Source organism: Homo sapiens, chromosome 2 (genome assembly GCF_000001405.40).
Source record: "Homo sapiens chromosome 2, GRCh38.p14 Primary Assembly".
Classification (NCBI taxonomy): domain Eukaryota; kingdom Metazoa; phylum Chordata; class Mammalia; order Primates; family Hominidae; genus Homo; species Homo sapiens.
Genome location: NC_000002.12, coordinates 97,025,415 through 97,040,204, shown reverse-complemented (window position 1 = coordinate 97,040,204; position 14,790 = coordinate 97,025,415). Strand labels below are relative to the sequence as shown.

General features: G+C 38.1%; 1 pseudogene; it reads left to right on the top strand.

The window, feature by feature from the left end:
- Positions 8,559 to 14,434, top strand: TRIM43CP (tripartite motif containing 43C, pseudogene; annotated as a pseudogene).

Genomic DNA, 14,790 nt, shown 5'->3' with positions numbered 1-14,790 from the left:
GCCCTCATGACATTTTTTTACATCTATTATCCAAGTCACATTTTCTGCAGCTTCATTTAAGTTGCTAAGCAAAGTTTTCACTAAACAGCAAATTTTACTTATTTCACTTTTTATTAATATAAATTATAATTTTTATTCTTCAATGACTGGAAAATGTGAAAAAATTCGTGTATATATTAAATGTATTTACATATGTATGTGTTATATAGACATACACAAAATTGCTATTGTAACGGTGGTTTTCATAGCAGTCTATAGCTACTGGAGATTTCATTTTTCCTTAAAGATATTATATTTCCTTAAAAATATTTTCTTAAAGATATTCTATTTCTTAATTTATAATAAGGATAATTCTTATGCTTTTATTAAAAACATAAATTAATAGGCCGGGTGCAGCGGCTCACGTCGGTAATTTCAGCTCTTTGAGATAATGAGGCAAAACGATCACTTGAGCCCAGCAGTTTAAGGCTGCAGTGAGCTGTGATTCCACCACCACACTCCAGCCTGGGCTACAGAGCCAGAAAATATATATATAATATATGAATTGACAGTAATACATTAATACATTAAAACCAGAGATCAAGTCTTAAAAGCAACAGCAAAGTGCATTTCCAGTCTAGCTCAGTGACTATTAGAATTAAAGCCAACTTCAGGCAAAACATTTCCAAAAACATAAGAAAAAAAAAGAAAAATGAGAAAAAAATTCCAGACTTTTGAAGACATTTATTAAAATCATAAATTGATGGTATCCTCTTTCCCATCTTTTGATGAGTAAAATATTAAAATACTCCAAAAATTATCCACAAATTTGGTATTTGAGGGTTCATTTGTTATAAACTCAGAGGTTCTTGATGAGAGGAAGTTTAAAGTGTGTTTATGGAGATTAGCCAAGGTGTTGAATCAATCATTTCCTCTCTTGTGGTGAAATCTAATCAAGAACCCTAAGGGCTATCCTAAACTCCAAGAAATGTACAGCCTTTTCAAAATGAGTGTGATTTTTCAGAGAGTCAAGATAAAGAGGTACAAGGAGCCAAGCTCATTCTTCTCTGGGACACACAGAGTGGCTTTGGAACTGGCTGTGAAGATGTCTGAAAGCTACTGCCACTATATGGCGAGGCCCTGATCCCTGATCAGACTTTATATTATTACTTCTACAGCAAGTATCAGTGAGACTATAAGTATATTTCTAGGGTGAGAACACAGCTAACGGAGGAGGAGTTCCTGCTAGTTTTCCAGTCCAAAACAGACTGCCCTACGTTGAATTTTTCAACAAACTGAGCTTGTTTCTATGAAATGATGTCATTTGCTTAATTAGTAAAAATGTTTTTACTCTTATTTTGTTATCCTGTCTTCCTACATACTTGTGAACTACAGTGAAGATTAATTTTACTTGTATCATTTATGTATTCATTAGTTGTTCCTATGTATTCTAAGAACTCAGAAAATAGTTTTCAGATATCTTGCAATTTTATACTTGTTGTATATCTTAAATTTTATTGAGAATATTTTATTCCATATGTTGTGTATAAATGTATTACCTTCAATTCTAAAGGTGGCACATAAATATATGCACAAGACAAAATATTCTATAATATACAACTTAGGTAATATGTTGAATAATTTGAGGGTAATATTGTGTTTTAGAGTATACCAAATGCCTCTTTAGCATTTTTGGGTGAAATCTGATCAAATTTTGGGTGAAACCTGATCTGATGAAATTTCAACAAATGTTCAGTAAATAAATATTGCTTATTTATTTAGAAATTATTTTGCAGTGGTGGCTTGTGATTGAGATTTTTCTAAGTACTTTAAAGGAGAAAATTATGACATCAAAATGAAATAATGAGAGTAAAATCTCAGTGAAATACAGTTTCCTAAACCAATCACTTTTTTTTCTTTTGTACTAAATCGATCTTTCCTAAACCAATCACAATAAGCATTAAGAATGGTTTTCAGAGTATTCAGGACCCATCGTCTAATGGTATAAATTGGTCCTAATTTCATACTCTTAAACCTCAAGCTTTTTGGAGTAAAGTCAAAACTCAACAAAATTGAGGTTTCTTTTCTTCTTTTCTTTCTTTTCTTTTCTCCTTCCTTCCTTCCTTCTTTTCCTCTCTTTTTGTGACAGGTATTGTTTTATTGCCCAGGCTGAAGAGCAGTGGCTCAATCTCAGTTGACTGCAACCTCAGGGTTCAAGCGATTCTTCTGCCCAGTCCCCTGAGTGACTGGGATTACAGGCATGTGCCACTACTCCTGGCTGGTTTTTGTATTTTTAGTAGAGATGGGGTTTCCCCATATTGGCTGGGCTGGTCTCCAACCTGATCTACCAGCCTTGGCATCCCAAAGTGCTGGGATTACAGGTGTGAGCCACTATATCTGGCCTCTCTGAGGTTCATTTTTCTATGCAAAAGAAAAGGGTAGGATGTAGTGCCCTGTGAGTTATGCATGCATCTGACAATTTTACCTACAGATCTGAGAGCTCTCTTTGTGCCTCAGGTTCTATTTTTGTCTTATGCAAAATAACGCCTATTCTACTCTAGACAGAAGTTTATCATTGAGTCACAACCTGAGTCAAATTTTGCTTTGGTCTTTGTTTCTCAGGGCATAAGATGAAGAAGTTTGTATCATACCTTTCCTAATTTCCTTCCTTCAGGAAAGTGGTCTGAGACATCACACAAGCCTTCCGGAAAGAACCCATCTGCCTCTTCTGTCTGAACTAATGTGTAGACCCCATCGCCACAGGCTGCAGCCCCAGCTTCTGTAGGCCCTGTCTCTGCCTTTCCTAGGAAGAAACCAAAATTCCTACCTGCTGCCCACATGCTGGGAACTGTCACAGCAGGAGGACTTCAAAACCAATATTCTTCTGAAGAATCTAGTGTCCATTGCCAGAAAAGCCAGTCTCTGGCAATTCCTGAGTCCTAATGAGCAAATGTATGGAACCCATGGGGAGACAAAGAAGATATTTGGAGAGGTGGAAAAACAGCCTGATTCATTTGCTGTGCTGGAACTCTCAGGAGCATGGGGCTCACACACACTGTGAGGGGCAGCTAAGGAACACTGGGTAAGTGATGGCTCTGAGAGCACTTTGAAAGCTGGAGGATGGCACAGGTAAAGAGATTAGGGGAAGATGAAGAGCATGACGAGTAATCTGTTCTGTACTGGATGTCATGTAGTGCCTAGGTATCAATGATAAAATAATAAATATAATCTGAGTGTACTTTCCCTCCTGGAGCTTACATTTCACTGAGGGAGTGATGAAGTTAATAATCATTGTAATAATTTGACTACTTGATGCAGTGTTCAAGGCACTGTAAAGAGCTCAATATCAGAAGAGTTTCTGGCTATCCAAACTACAAGTTAAAAAGTCTTTTCTATAAGAAACCTATTTACCAACACTGGAAATAATAGAATAAAACACGCTAGAATTAGCAAGGCACGGTGTCAGTAGATTCCAATTCTGATGCAAGGTGCCACATTATCTGTAAATTAGCCCTGCCTATGATTTTCCTATTAAACTTGCTGCGTTACACGTTGTGGTTCTACAGTCCGAGATCTTCCCAAATCTCTCTCATATCTCATCCCTTGATTTCTTTATCACTGAGGGTCTGAAACCTAAAATGATTTGCTTCTCTGATGTTCACATTCATAGTTCTTTTACAGGAGAAGATTATGAAGCAAATGAGACGTTTGTGGGCAAAAATTCAAGAAAACCAAAGAAATTTAAATGAGGAAAGCAGGAAAACCAACCAGTGGATTGTAAGTATTAGGCCTTTTCCCTCAGATTTAGCCTCAGACAGACATGCTAGAAATGTATCCACTTATCACTTGAATGGAAATCATCTTGGTAGGATTTGAGGAAGATTTTTCTCATGGCTTCCAATCCTGAGGGTACAATGCAGCATTGATTACTGCTCAGAGAGAGTGGTCAGGCTATGGAGTAGGAAGACCTGGTACTAAAAACTAATTTAAAAACACAGAGATCATAATACTGCAAAAAATTATTTGTGAATCAACCATAAATTCCAATGGCTCTCATGTAGGCTTTCAGATATCAATGGATATATATTGAAGAAACGATCAATAATAACCTTTCTTCAGGTGTTTTAGGAAGTCATATAATGAATGAAAGTGGTTTGAGGAAAGAATGAATTTGGCTGTCAGTATTATTAAGAAACAATACAAATAAATGAAAGGAAGACAGGAATGATTTATTTCATGGTTCTGTCAAGTGGGAAGACACGAGTTTATGTACTTAGCTTATTGGTAGAATACATGAGTCAGGATAGGCTCGGTGGTTCATGTCTGTAATCCCAATAATTTGGGAAGACCACTTGAGACCAGGAGTTTCCAACCAGCCTGGCCATCAACATAGTGAGACCCTGATCTTTATTATAAAGAAAGGATGAAAGAGATAAAGAAAAGAAAATGAGTCAAAGTGAATAGAAGAGGTATAAGTGGAGGAGGATGAATTCAGAGTAAATATGTCATCTAGGAAATCCAGGTCCCCGCAGTGCTATGTGTAGCTACGGGCAGAGATGACTAGAGCTGAGTAGAGGAAGCTGCATTCAGTTCCCCATGAGAAGTAAAACAACATTTAGAGAAACTTACAGATGATGACAGAAAGATTTTACAGCAACTTAAGAAAAGCAAAAAGACAAAATGGTTCAGAAAAAAAAAAAAAACACCTAAGAAAAATCTATAAGGAGCTGATAAAAATGTGCCATAAACTAGATGTGGAGCTGCTCCAGGAAAGAACCAATAATATGCCTTAAAAATTTTTGTAGTATTTGAAGTTCATACCTTACAACAAGCTTGCCCAACCCACGGTCCGTGGGCCACATACGGCCAAGGACGGCTTTGAATGTGGCCCAACACAAATTCCTAACCTTTCTTGAAACATGATGAGATTTTTGTTTGTCATTTTATTAAAGCTCACCAGCTATAGTTAATCTTAGTGTATTTCATGTGTGGCCCAAGACAATGCTTTTTCTAATGAGGCCCAGGGAAGCCAAAAGATTGCACACCCCTGGCTTAGGTGATATTATTTATTCAACACCATAGATATGTGTGTGTGGGGGGGTGTATATATATGTATGTGTGTATACATATATATGTACCATATATATATATATATATATATATATATATATATATATATAATATATATCATATATGTATCTCCTGCTTCTAAGAGGGAGGAACTTTTCCAAATAGAAATAACATAGGTGAAATGTAATTCTTATCCTAACCATGAACAAGCAAGCTTTTTTGGAATCTTTGAGTGGATGTAATTTTATATTCCCCTTTATCAAACACTGACCACAGGGAATATTCCCCTCTAATAAGCTTCTTTTGTAGCTTTTTTCTGAAAAACTGGACAAATGTAATGTGGGAGTCAGACAGCATGTGTCACTAAGCTGAGAGCAGTGACATATGCAGGTGACATTCGCATGTCCTGGCAGCATTGTCCAGCAAAGGCTTCCTTTCTTTGGGGATGGACCCTCCCTCCTCACCTGGAGCAGCTCCACGTCAGGCATGTGGCACGTCTCCCACAGCTCTCTGTACATGTCTTTCATCCTTTCTAAATGTTGGGTCATTCTCACTTGACTGTCTTGTAGTTGTTGGAAAAGCCCTTTTGCTTCTCTGTCCAGTGCCTGCAGATGCAGTTGCTTCTCCTCATCGAGAAATAGACGCATCTTTTGATATTGAATATTGATTATCACCTTACTTAATGACACATAGTTCTGCGGAGACATTTGGTTAAAAGGATTACATACTCTCACTCTCAACAGAAAACTTCAAATAATTATATGCTGGGTGTAATCAAGCAATCTATAAACTTTCTGCCTCACTCTTGCAAGGAGTCTTGAATATTTGTTATTTCTTTCTGTCCATCTTTTTCAATGTTCCTATTCTCTCTCCCTCTTTAAATCAAAACCTATATAAAGACTTCTAGTTTCTCTTCCTGAGATGCTTCTTCACAGTTCTTACTGAGTCAATTATCTCCTCTATTAATCTCCCTTTTAGGATTTTTCCATGTCTGATTCGCCTAAATGTTAAAAACCATTTAGCCATACACCATATTATGCAGATTGATTTTTCCTTTTACTATATTTTTACTCTATATACTATTTTATATACTATTCTATTTCTTTCCTCTTCCTCACACCCAATTTTGGTGAAATGTCTCATCTCCAGTGTCTGAAAAGATTTATACCCACCTTCAAATTTGAACTAGAATACATATCATGCCATTTATCCAATAAACTAGAATTAATTTGGTTAGCTTGTGTGGGCTTCTCTATTTGCAATTCCTATTATATCAATTATATCAAACCCCCCTCTACTAAAAATGCAAGAAAAAAACTAGCCAGCGACAGAGCCAGACTCCTTTCAAAAAATAAATAAATAAATAAACGTAAAACTTCTGTTTTGAAGAAACTTAATCATCTATGTTAACACCCACCTACGCCCTGTGAAATGCAATCAATTGGAAGAAAGGGGTGTGGTCTTCAGAGATTTATAAACCGACACTTCAGGAGCCAAGCTCATTCTTCTCCAGAGCCCACAGAGTAGCTTTGCAACTGGCTTTGGGGACTTCCGAAAGCTACCAGCACTGCACTGTGAGACTCTCATCCCTGAGCTGAATTCATCTGATTCGACAGCAAGCTTTGGTGAGAACATAGATATATTTCTGAGGTAAGTACACAATTTCCAGAGTAGGAGCTACTATTAGGTTACAAACCAAAACAAAATTTGGGGACTTTAATTTATCTGCAAGCTTAGATTATTTTTAGATGAAATGATCTCATTTTCTGAGTTTTAAAAACGGCTCCATTTCTTTTTTAAAATTATTTTAAACATAATCCATAGGTTTATGGATTAAACATGGGCCACCATGTTCAGCTATTTATTTATTTGTTTGTTTATTTATTTTGAGATGGAATCACGCTCTATTGCCAGGCTGGAGTGCAGCGGCGCTCTTGGCTCACTGCAACCTCCGCCTTCCAGGTTCAAACGATTCTTCAGCCTCGGCCTCCAGAGTAGCTGGAAATATAGGTGCCCACCACCACGCCCAGCTAATTTTTGTATTTTTTTTAGTAGAGACGGGATTTCATTATGTTGGCCAGGATGGTCTCCATCTCTTGATCTTGTGATCCGTTCACCTCGGCCTCTGAAAGTGTTGGGATTACAGGCCTGAGCCACCGCGCCCGGCCTTTTTTTTTTAAATTTATATAAGTATTTTTAGAGACAGGATGATCTAGACACTTTGCCGTGTCACCAGTCTAGAGTTCCTGAGCTCAAAAAACCTGCCTGACTTGGCCTCCCAAAATGCTGGGATTACAGGCTTGAATCACCTTCCCTGGCTTGGTTTTTATTTTTATTTGTATTTTAGCAAAACATACATTTAAAACGCTGACTTACTGTCTAGTGCCTAGTTTTTGTTTTTGTTTTTGTTTTTGGGGGGAGACAGAGTCTTGCTCTGTTACCCAGACTGGAGTGCTGTGGCACTATCTCGGCTCACTGCAAGCTCCGCCTGCCGGGTTCACGCCATTCTCCAGCCTCCGCCTCCAGAGTAGCTGGGACTACAGGCGTCTGCCACCACAGTCGGCTAATTTTTTGTATTTTTTAGTAGAGATAGGGATTCACCATGTTAGCCAGGATGGTCTTGATCTCGTGACATCGTGATCTGCCCGCCTCAGCCACCTCGGCCTCCCAAAGTGCTCGGATTACAGGCGTGAGCCACCGTGCCCGGCCTCTATTGCATGATACTTACTCTTTTCCTGATTGTGTGAAAGAGTAATGATAATGCTTCAATTATCATTATCTTTTTGTAAATTTAATTAATTGTCTGTCTTTTAAGGATGTTGTAATATTAACCAGTATATCCCCAAATTAACAGACTGTCCAGGAACAGTAAACATGCCAGAAAGTTTTTGTTGATTAAATTAACATAGCAGCCTAGAAAAACAATGATTCTTAGCTTTACCTTGGAGAGGTACCTTACCTTGATTTGACTGTTTTTCCTTGGAGAGTAAAGGCTAGCTTTTTCTGATTTGGGTCAAAGTATGAGTTCTGCTCTAACAATTTCAAGCAATGTCCTTCTGGAAAAGTCATTATGGATGGTTGTTATAGTTAAATAAAATAATGAGAGTAGAAGAGCTTAGTTAGCTTTCCTTCTCTAAACCAATCACTGGCAATTAAGAGTGTTACTGACTTTCAGACCATTCAAGACTCAAACCTTGAGTTTACAGGTTGATGAAACCCTTGAAGCCCAAGCAATTTGGTGGATACTAACACCTCAAAAAATCCAACATTCTTCCATGCAAGAAAGTAGAGTTTGGAAAGCTGGTCATGTGTTAATTGGAGAACAGTCACTTTTTCTAGAGGTTGATGTCTCTTTGTGCCTTAGTTTTCTATTTTTCCTATTTCTGTCATTGCAAATTAAAGCCTATACTTCTCTAGAAAGAAAGGATATTATTCTATCACAATCCGATTCAAACTTTGTTTGGATCTTTGTCTCTCCAGGGTAGAAGATTAAATTCTTGTGGTTTTCTTTCCTTAGGAAAATGGACTCAGACTTCTCACATGCCTTCCAGAAGGAACTCGCCTGTGTCATCTGTTTGAACTACCTGGTAGACCCTGTCACCATCTGCTGTGGGCACAGCTTCTGCAGGCCCTCTCTGCCTTTCCTGGGAGGAAGCCCAAAGTCCTGCCAACTGCCGTGCATGCAGGGAACCATCACAGAAAAAGGACTTCAAAACCAATATTCTTCTGAAGAATTTAGTGACCATTGCCAGAAAAGCCAGTCTCTGGCAATTCCTGAGCTCTGAGAAACAAATATGTGGGACCCATAGGCAAACAAAGAAGATGTTCTGTGACATGGACAAGAGTCTCCTCTGCTTGCTGTGCTCCAACTCTCAGGAGCACGGGGCTCACAAACACTATCCCATCGAAGAGGCAGCTGAGGAACACCGGGTAAGAGATAGCTCTGTGATCACCTGAAAGCTGGAGGGTGGCAGAGTTAAAGAGATTAGAAGGATGATGAGAATCACGGTGATTACTCCATTCTTTACTGAGTGCCAGGTGCTGTTCTAGGTACCAATGATGACATTTTGAATAAAATGTGCAACTCTACCTTCCTTCATGGAGCTTGCACCCAAAAAGAGACTGATTAAGTAAATGTCATTATTATTGACTCTACAGTTCAATGCTAATGACATTGAAAAGCTACCAAAGCTACCAGTGCAAAGAAATGTATTTTGGAAATATATTTAATATTACTGGACAAATGAGTATGGGAGTAGCACGCTACAAAATCAGGGGCTAGCATAGTGGATTCTGAAGCAGGATGTTTCCCTGAACTAATTTAGCTGGGTTACAGGAAATCTTCATTCTTCAGTTCCCTAAACTGTTCTACATTCTGAAACCTCAAACTGAAAAATATCAATTAAGGATGAGCAATGAAAAATTTTGGTTTTTTCTCCTCTCACTAATGTATTTATATATTAGATCCCTTGCCTGTGTATACCACTCAGATTGTGGAATCTTTGGTATTTGACTTTCTGTTGTTCAACCTTGTAATTCTTTTGCAGGAGAAACTCTTAAAGCAAATGAGGATTTTATGGAAAAAGATTCAAGAAAATCAGAGAAATCTATATGAGGAGAGAAGAACAGCCTTCCTCTGGAGGGTGAGTATGAGACCGTGAGTCCTCCTGACCAGCTTGAGACAGGCATGCTGACAACATTTATATTAGCAACTTGAGTTGAAATTCTCATATGCCAGATTTTGTCATGTGTTTATTCATAGGCTGGAAAACAACCAGACTGTTCAATATAATGATTGTTCAGGTTTTCTGTAAATGCTTTTCAGATAAGTAAAAAATAAATATAAATTCTGAAGGGCAAGTATGTGCTTAAAATTAATAAGTATTTCAGACAGAGTTTTCTGTATAAAATTAATTATGAAATGTTGATTAAATAGTATATAATTGAGAAATAAAGGCATTTATTGGTGAATATGATATTGTCCAGGGGGAAGAAATCGGGTGGGAACAGTAATTTAAGAAATGTGCCTGTGCTGGTGAAATCTGATAGCAAAGGACCCACATGATGCCAGTCCAAGTAGGAGAAAATGCAACGTGAGGAAAAGCTGAGGAGAAGGGATAAAAAATGACTGGGGCAGTGAGAGGATAAATATGTCATTATTGAGAGGAGAAACACAATGGAATGGGGATTAATGTTCTTAGAATGGCAGTGCAATACAGAGTCTATGGATTTGACAGAAGAAAGACAGGAGACAGAAAAGAGGTAGTCGGTTTGAGAGATGGGGGTTAAATTTTTTACTAAGATCTTTTTTGTGTGATGGCTTCTGATCCTGATTATAATATACTAAAAACATTTCTACTAAGAGTGATTGTTCAGGCTGTGAAGTACAGAGATTTGAAACAACAACCTAATTGAGTAACAAAGATTATGTGTATTATCCATGACAACTGAACAATCAATCATAAATTTTAGTTGTTTTCTAATGGTATTTCCGATTTGAGAGGACATAGATTTAAACATTTAAATCCAAAGGGCTTTTTTGCAGATGTTTGGGAATTGATGAATTACACAAATTTTGAAGGAAGGTCTTGCTTAACTCATCATCCTGTTTGTAAAGGATGGAAAATAAAAGAAGGAATGAGGAGGATGAAGTTGTGGGTTCTGTGATGTGGAAGTAGGCCTGGGTATATAACCTACAAAATTCATATCCCTACAGGGCGATGTGGTTTTACGGGCACAGATGATCAGGAATGAGTATAGGAAGCTGCATCCGGTTCTCCATAAGGAAGAAAAACAACATTTAGAGAGACTGAACAAGGAATACCAAGAGATTTTTCAGCAACTCCAGAGAAGCTGGGTCAAAATGGATCAAAAGAGTAAACACTTAAAAGAAATGTATCAGGAACTAATGGAAATGTGTCATAAACCAGATGTGGAGCTGCTCCAGGTAAGAACGGAGGATGCCCCTTGAGACACTTTGTGTTAGCTGACCTTTACATCTTTGCCTTCCATTGGGTACCAAAGACATTATTTCTTCGTTTCCTGCACTGACGATGAGAGTCATTCCCACCGGTTATAGAGATAAACTATAACTCCTACCCTATATAATGGAAATAAAGCTTTATGGAATTGTGCAACTAGCTTTCCATACAACATTTTCTACCACAAGCTTCCTCCTCCAGCGCATTTCATTAAAACTCTGGAAGAAAAAATTTCATGTGAAAATTCTATTTTTAACTCCAATGGATAATACATAGAAATTATGGAAAAACTGACATTTCCTTCTTCCTCCTTTTGGGAAGTCCTAGGTTTGAAATGCTCTTGATTTGAGCCACATTACACTTTGGGGACTAGCCCTGAAAAAGACCACGTTGTAGACAGCTGCAGCAATGCGCAGTCACTACTCACACCTTTCTCTCTCACTCAAATTTAGGGTCCTTAATTTATCAGAAATCCATATTGTCAATAGGTCTTACTGGTATAATTGTTAGAGATAAGAATACATTTTAAAATAGTTGCAGTGATAGTATGTGGTAATTCTAAAGTTTTCAAAACCTGAAGACCAGATAGGCAGAATAACAACTTTTTTGTGTGTTTATTTTGAGACAGAGTCTTCTTCTGTCACCCAGACAGAAGTCCAGTGGCCCAATCTCAGCTCACTGCAACTTCTGCCTCCTTGGTTCAAGCAATTCTCCTGCCTCAGCCTCCCTAGTAGCTGGGACTAAAGGCATGCACCACCACACCCCACTATTTGTGTGTGTGTGTGTATTTTTAGTAGAAATGGGATTTGCCATGTTGTCCAGGCTAGTCTGGAACTCCTGACCTCAGGTGTTCCACCCACCTTGGCCTCCCAAAGTGCTGGGATTACAGGTGTGAACCACCTCACCCAACAAGAATAACAACTTTCTAAAGAAGTCATTTTTTTTTTCTCTCTCTCTCTCTACAGGATTTGGGAGACATCGTGGCAAGGTATGTTTTTGGCCACCAGTGCAAACTGGAGCACAAGGCATGCTATGAAAAACATCAAGCTGTTTCCAACAAAGTGAAAACATAATTTACTAACACCATAATGTGTCAGTGTGATTGTGTGTGTATGTGTGTGTACTCATGTGTTTATGTGGTATGATGAATGTCACCTATGCCTTTTATCAGATATTAATCTTTTCTTACTTTCCCAGGTGACTCAGGGGTTTATGTTTTGAAGAGTGCAATGCAGAGGTTGCTAGAATACAGTTGCCTCTTTTTGCGATTCAGAATCATAATTAGAGATAAACTATTTGGTGGCAGATAGGGAGAGAGGCATTTATCTTTCAGTGGCAGTAGGTTAGAAATGGAGTGAATAGTTAGAAAGATTCCCTAAGAGCCACAAACCCAACCTAGCGTTGTGGAGGTACATTACGGTATCAGAAGTGAGCTTGAATGAAGCATTTTCTATTGTAATCTGTTTCTTAAACACAGACATCAGAAAGTTAACCAACTCAACCTACTTCCTTGCAGGAGTGAGCCCGTGCTGCTGCACATGCCCCAGCCTGTGAATCCAGAGCTCACAGCAGGGCCCATCACTGGACTGGTGTACAGGCTCAACCGCTTCCGAGGTGAGTGTGGCCCTGTTGGTGGGATCCCCATGCAATGCCTTCAATTATGGTTTTCTATGGGCAGCTTTCCCAGTGTAATGATCTTTCATCTAGAAGAAGAGAATAGCCTGTGAATAGGTATTTATAGTTTCACTATCATCAAACAGACAAAACAAAATAAAAGCTGGTGAAATGTAATAGGAATCAGCCATATAACAAATTTCTTAGAAAAATAAAACATGCAGAAGGGCTCTTTAGGACTTTAGGAACCATTCTCTGATACAATTTCATGTATACAATTATTACATGAAGTATACAGAACTGAATTCAGGACATTTCAATTTCAAATTCAGTGCAGTTAACGACTGATTTGAGTGACAGTGTTTTTTTTAAATACATTTTTAGGTGAAGTTTCATAGCATTTATAATTTTAATCATGTTTTTAATCAACTAAAGCATACATGAGTAACTTATATAACAATGCAAAAACTGAGAATCTGTCAACAATAGGAACAGGATTTGGTGGTTGACGAGGTCTTAGATAGAACTCCAGGATAGATCATGACAAATCCAGCAGAATAAAAGAAGTCTGTGCCTGAATCTGGCATGAAAGTCAGATAATTCTTGCAAGGAATCTGCACTTTTCAGAAGGCAGATTCAGATTTTCTCTTTAAGTATGAATTTGCTAGGTTAAGTGGCAGATCATAATATTTCTGGAAAGTGATAACTTTTTTATTTGGGACTAAGAATGGCTGCCCACCTCATCTCCTGTCCAAAGCCTCCTGCTCTGCCCTGACAGAGAAGAGACAATGAAGGTTAATTTTATTGCTATGGACTTGGCTGCAGTGCAGGAGCTTCCAGTTTTTCAGTTGTTATGAAAGGTCGCTAACGAGACATAGACATGACCTTCCTCCCCTTTATACTTTTTGAGTTTATGGAAATTGTGATCATCCTAGTTTAGCCATTTACTTGTGCAGATCTCCTAACACCCTTTGATTCCAACATTTTTCCAGACAGAAGTTTCTTTCTAATCTTGACCTGTGTTTTCTAGTGAGAATCTCTTTCTTATCTGAACATAAGAATTTGTAAACTGCTTTTCACTGGAATATTCTCTTTTTTCTACAGTGGAAATTTCCTTCCATTGTGAAGTAACCAATCACAATATCAGGCTCTTTGAGGATGTGAGAAGTTGGATGTTTAGACGTGGACCTTTGAATTCTGACAGATCTGACTATTTTGCTGCATGGGGAGCCAGGGTCTTCTCCTTTGGGAAACACTACTGGGAGCTGGATGTGGACAACTCTTGTGACTGGGCTCTGGGAGTCTGTAACGACTCCTGGATAAGGAAGAATAGCACAATGGTTAACTCTGAGGACATATTTCTTCTTTTGTGTCTGAAGGTGGATAATCATTTCAGTCTCTTGACCACCTCCCCAGAGTTTCCTCACTATATAGAGAAACCTCTGGGCCGGGTTGGTGTGTTTCTTGATTTTGAAAGTGGAAGTGTGAGTTTTTTGAATGTCACCAAGAGTTCCCTCATATGGAGTTACCCAGCTGGCTCCTTAACTTTTCCTGTCAGGCCTTTCTTTTACACTGGCCACAGATGATCAGGATTAAGAAAACTTACTGTTTGGGAACTCCATATACAAGGGAGCCCTTCACTGTTGATACAAAGAAATCATACTGTTCAGGCTTTTTTGTACTTTAGTGTCACTTCATTTTATTGCTATTAAATAGAAAATTTGTAAAAAGCAAATTTTTTGTACATTTTCTTACAATTAAAATAATCCCTTATGGCCCATTACCTAAAATACGTATTGTGATTTTCAAGTGTTTGTGAATTTATTGGATGGAATTCTGGAAATATGTGGGTGTGTGATTCCAACTTAATGATCTCATTCAGGAACAACTTTTGTACATCATGGGCAGACGGGGTTTTGTACAATGCACTTGTAAGTGTGAGAGTTCCCTCCTATTAATACAGTAAATTCTACACCTCATCACTTTGGGGGGAAAAATTTATTTTACACAGAAGTTTTCACAGAATCTTTGGGCTAGAACAGGAATTTAACAGTCATGCATCCTATGGCAACAAAATACATTCTGAGAAATGCATTGTTAGGCGATTTCATCATTGTGTGAACATCAGAACACACTACAAAAACCT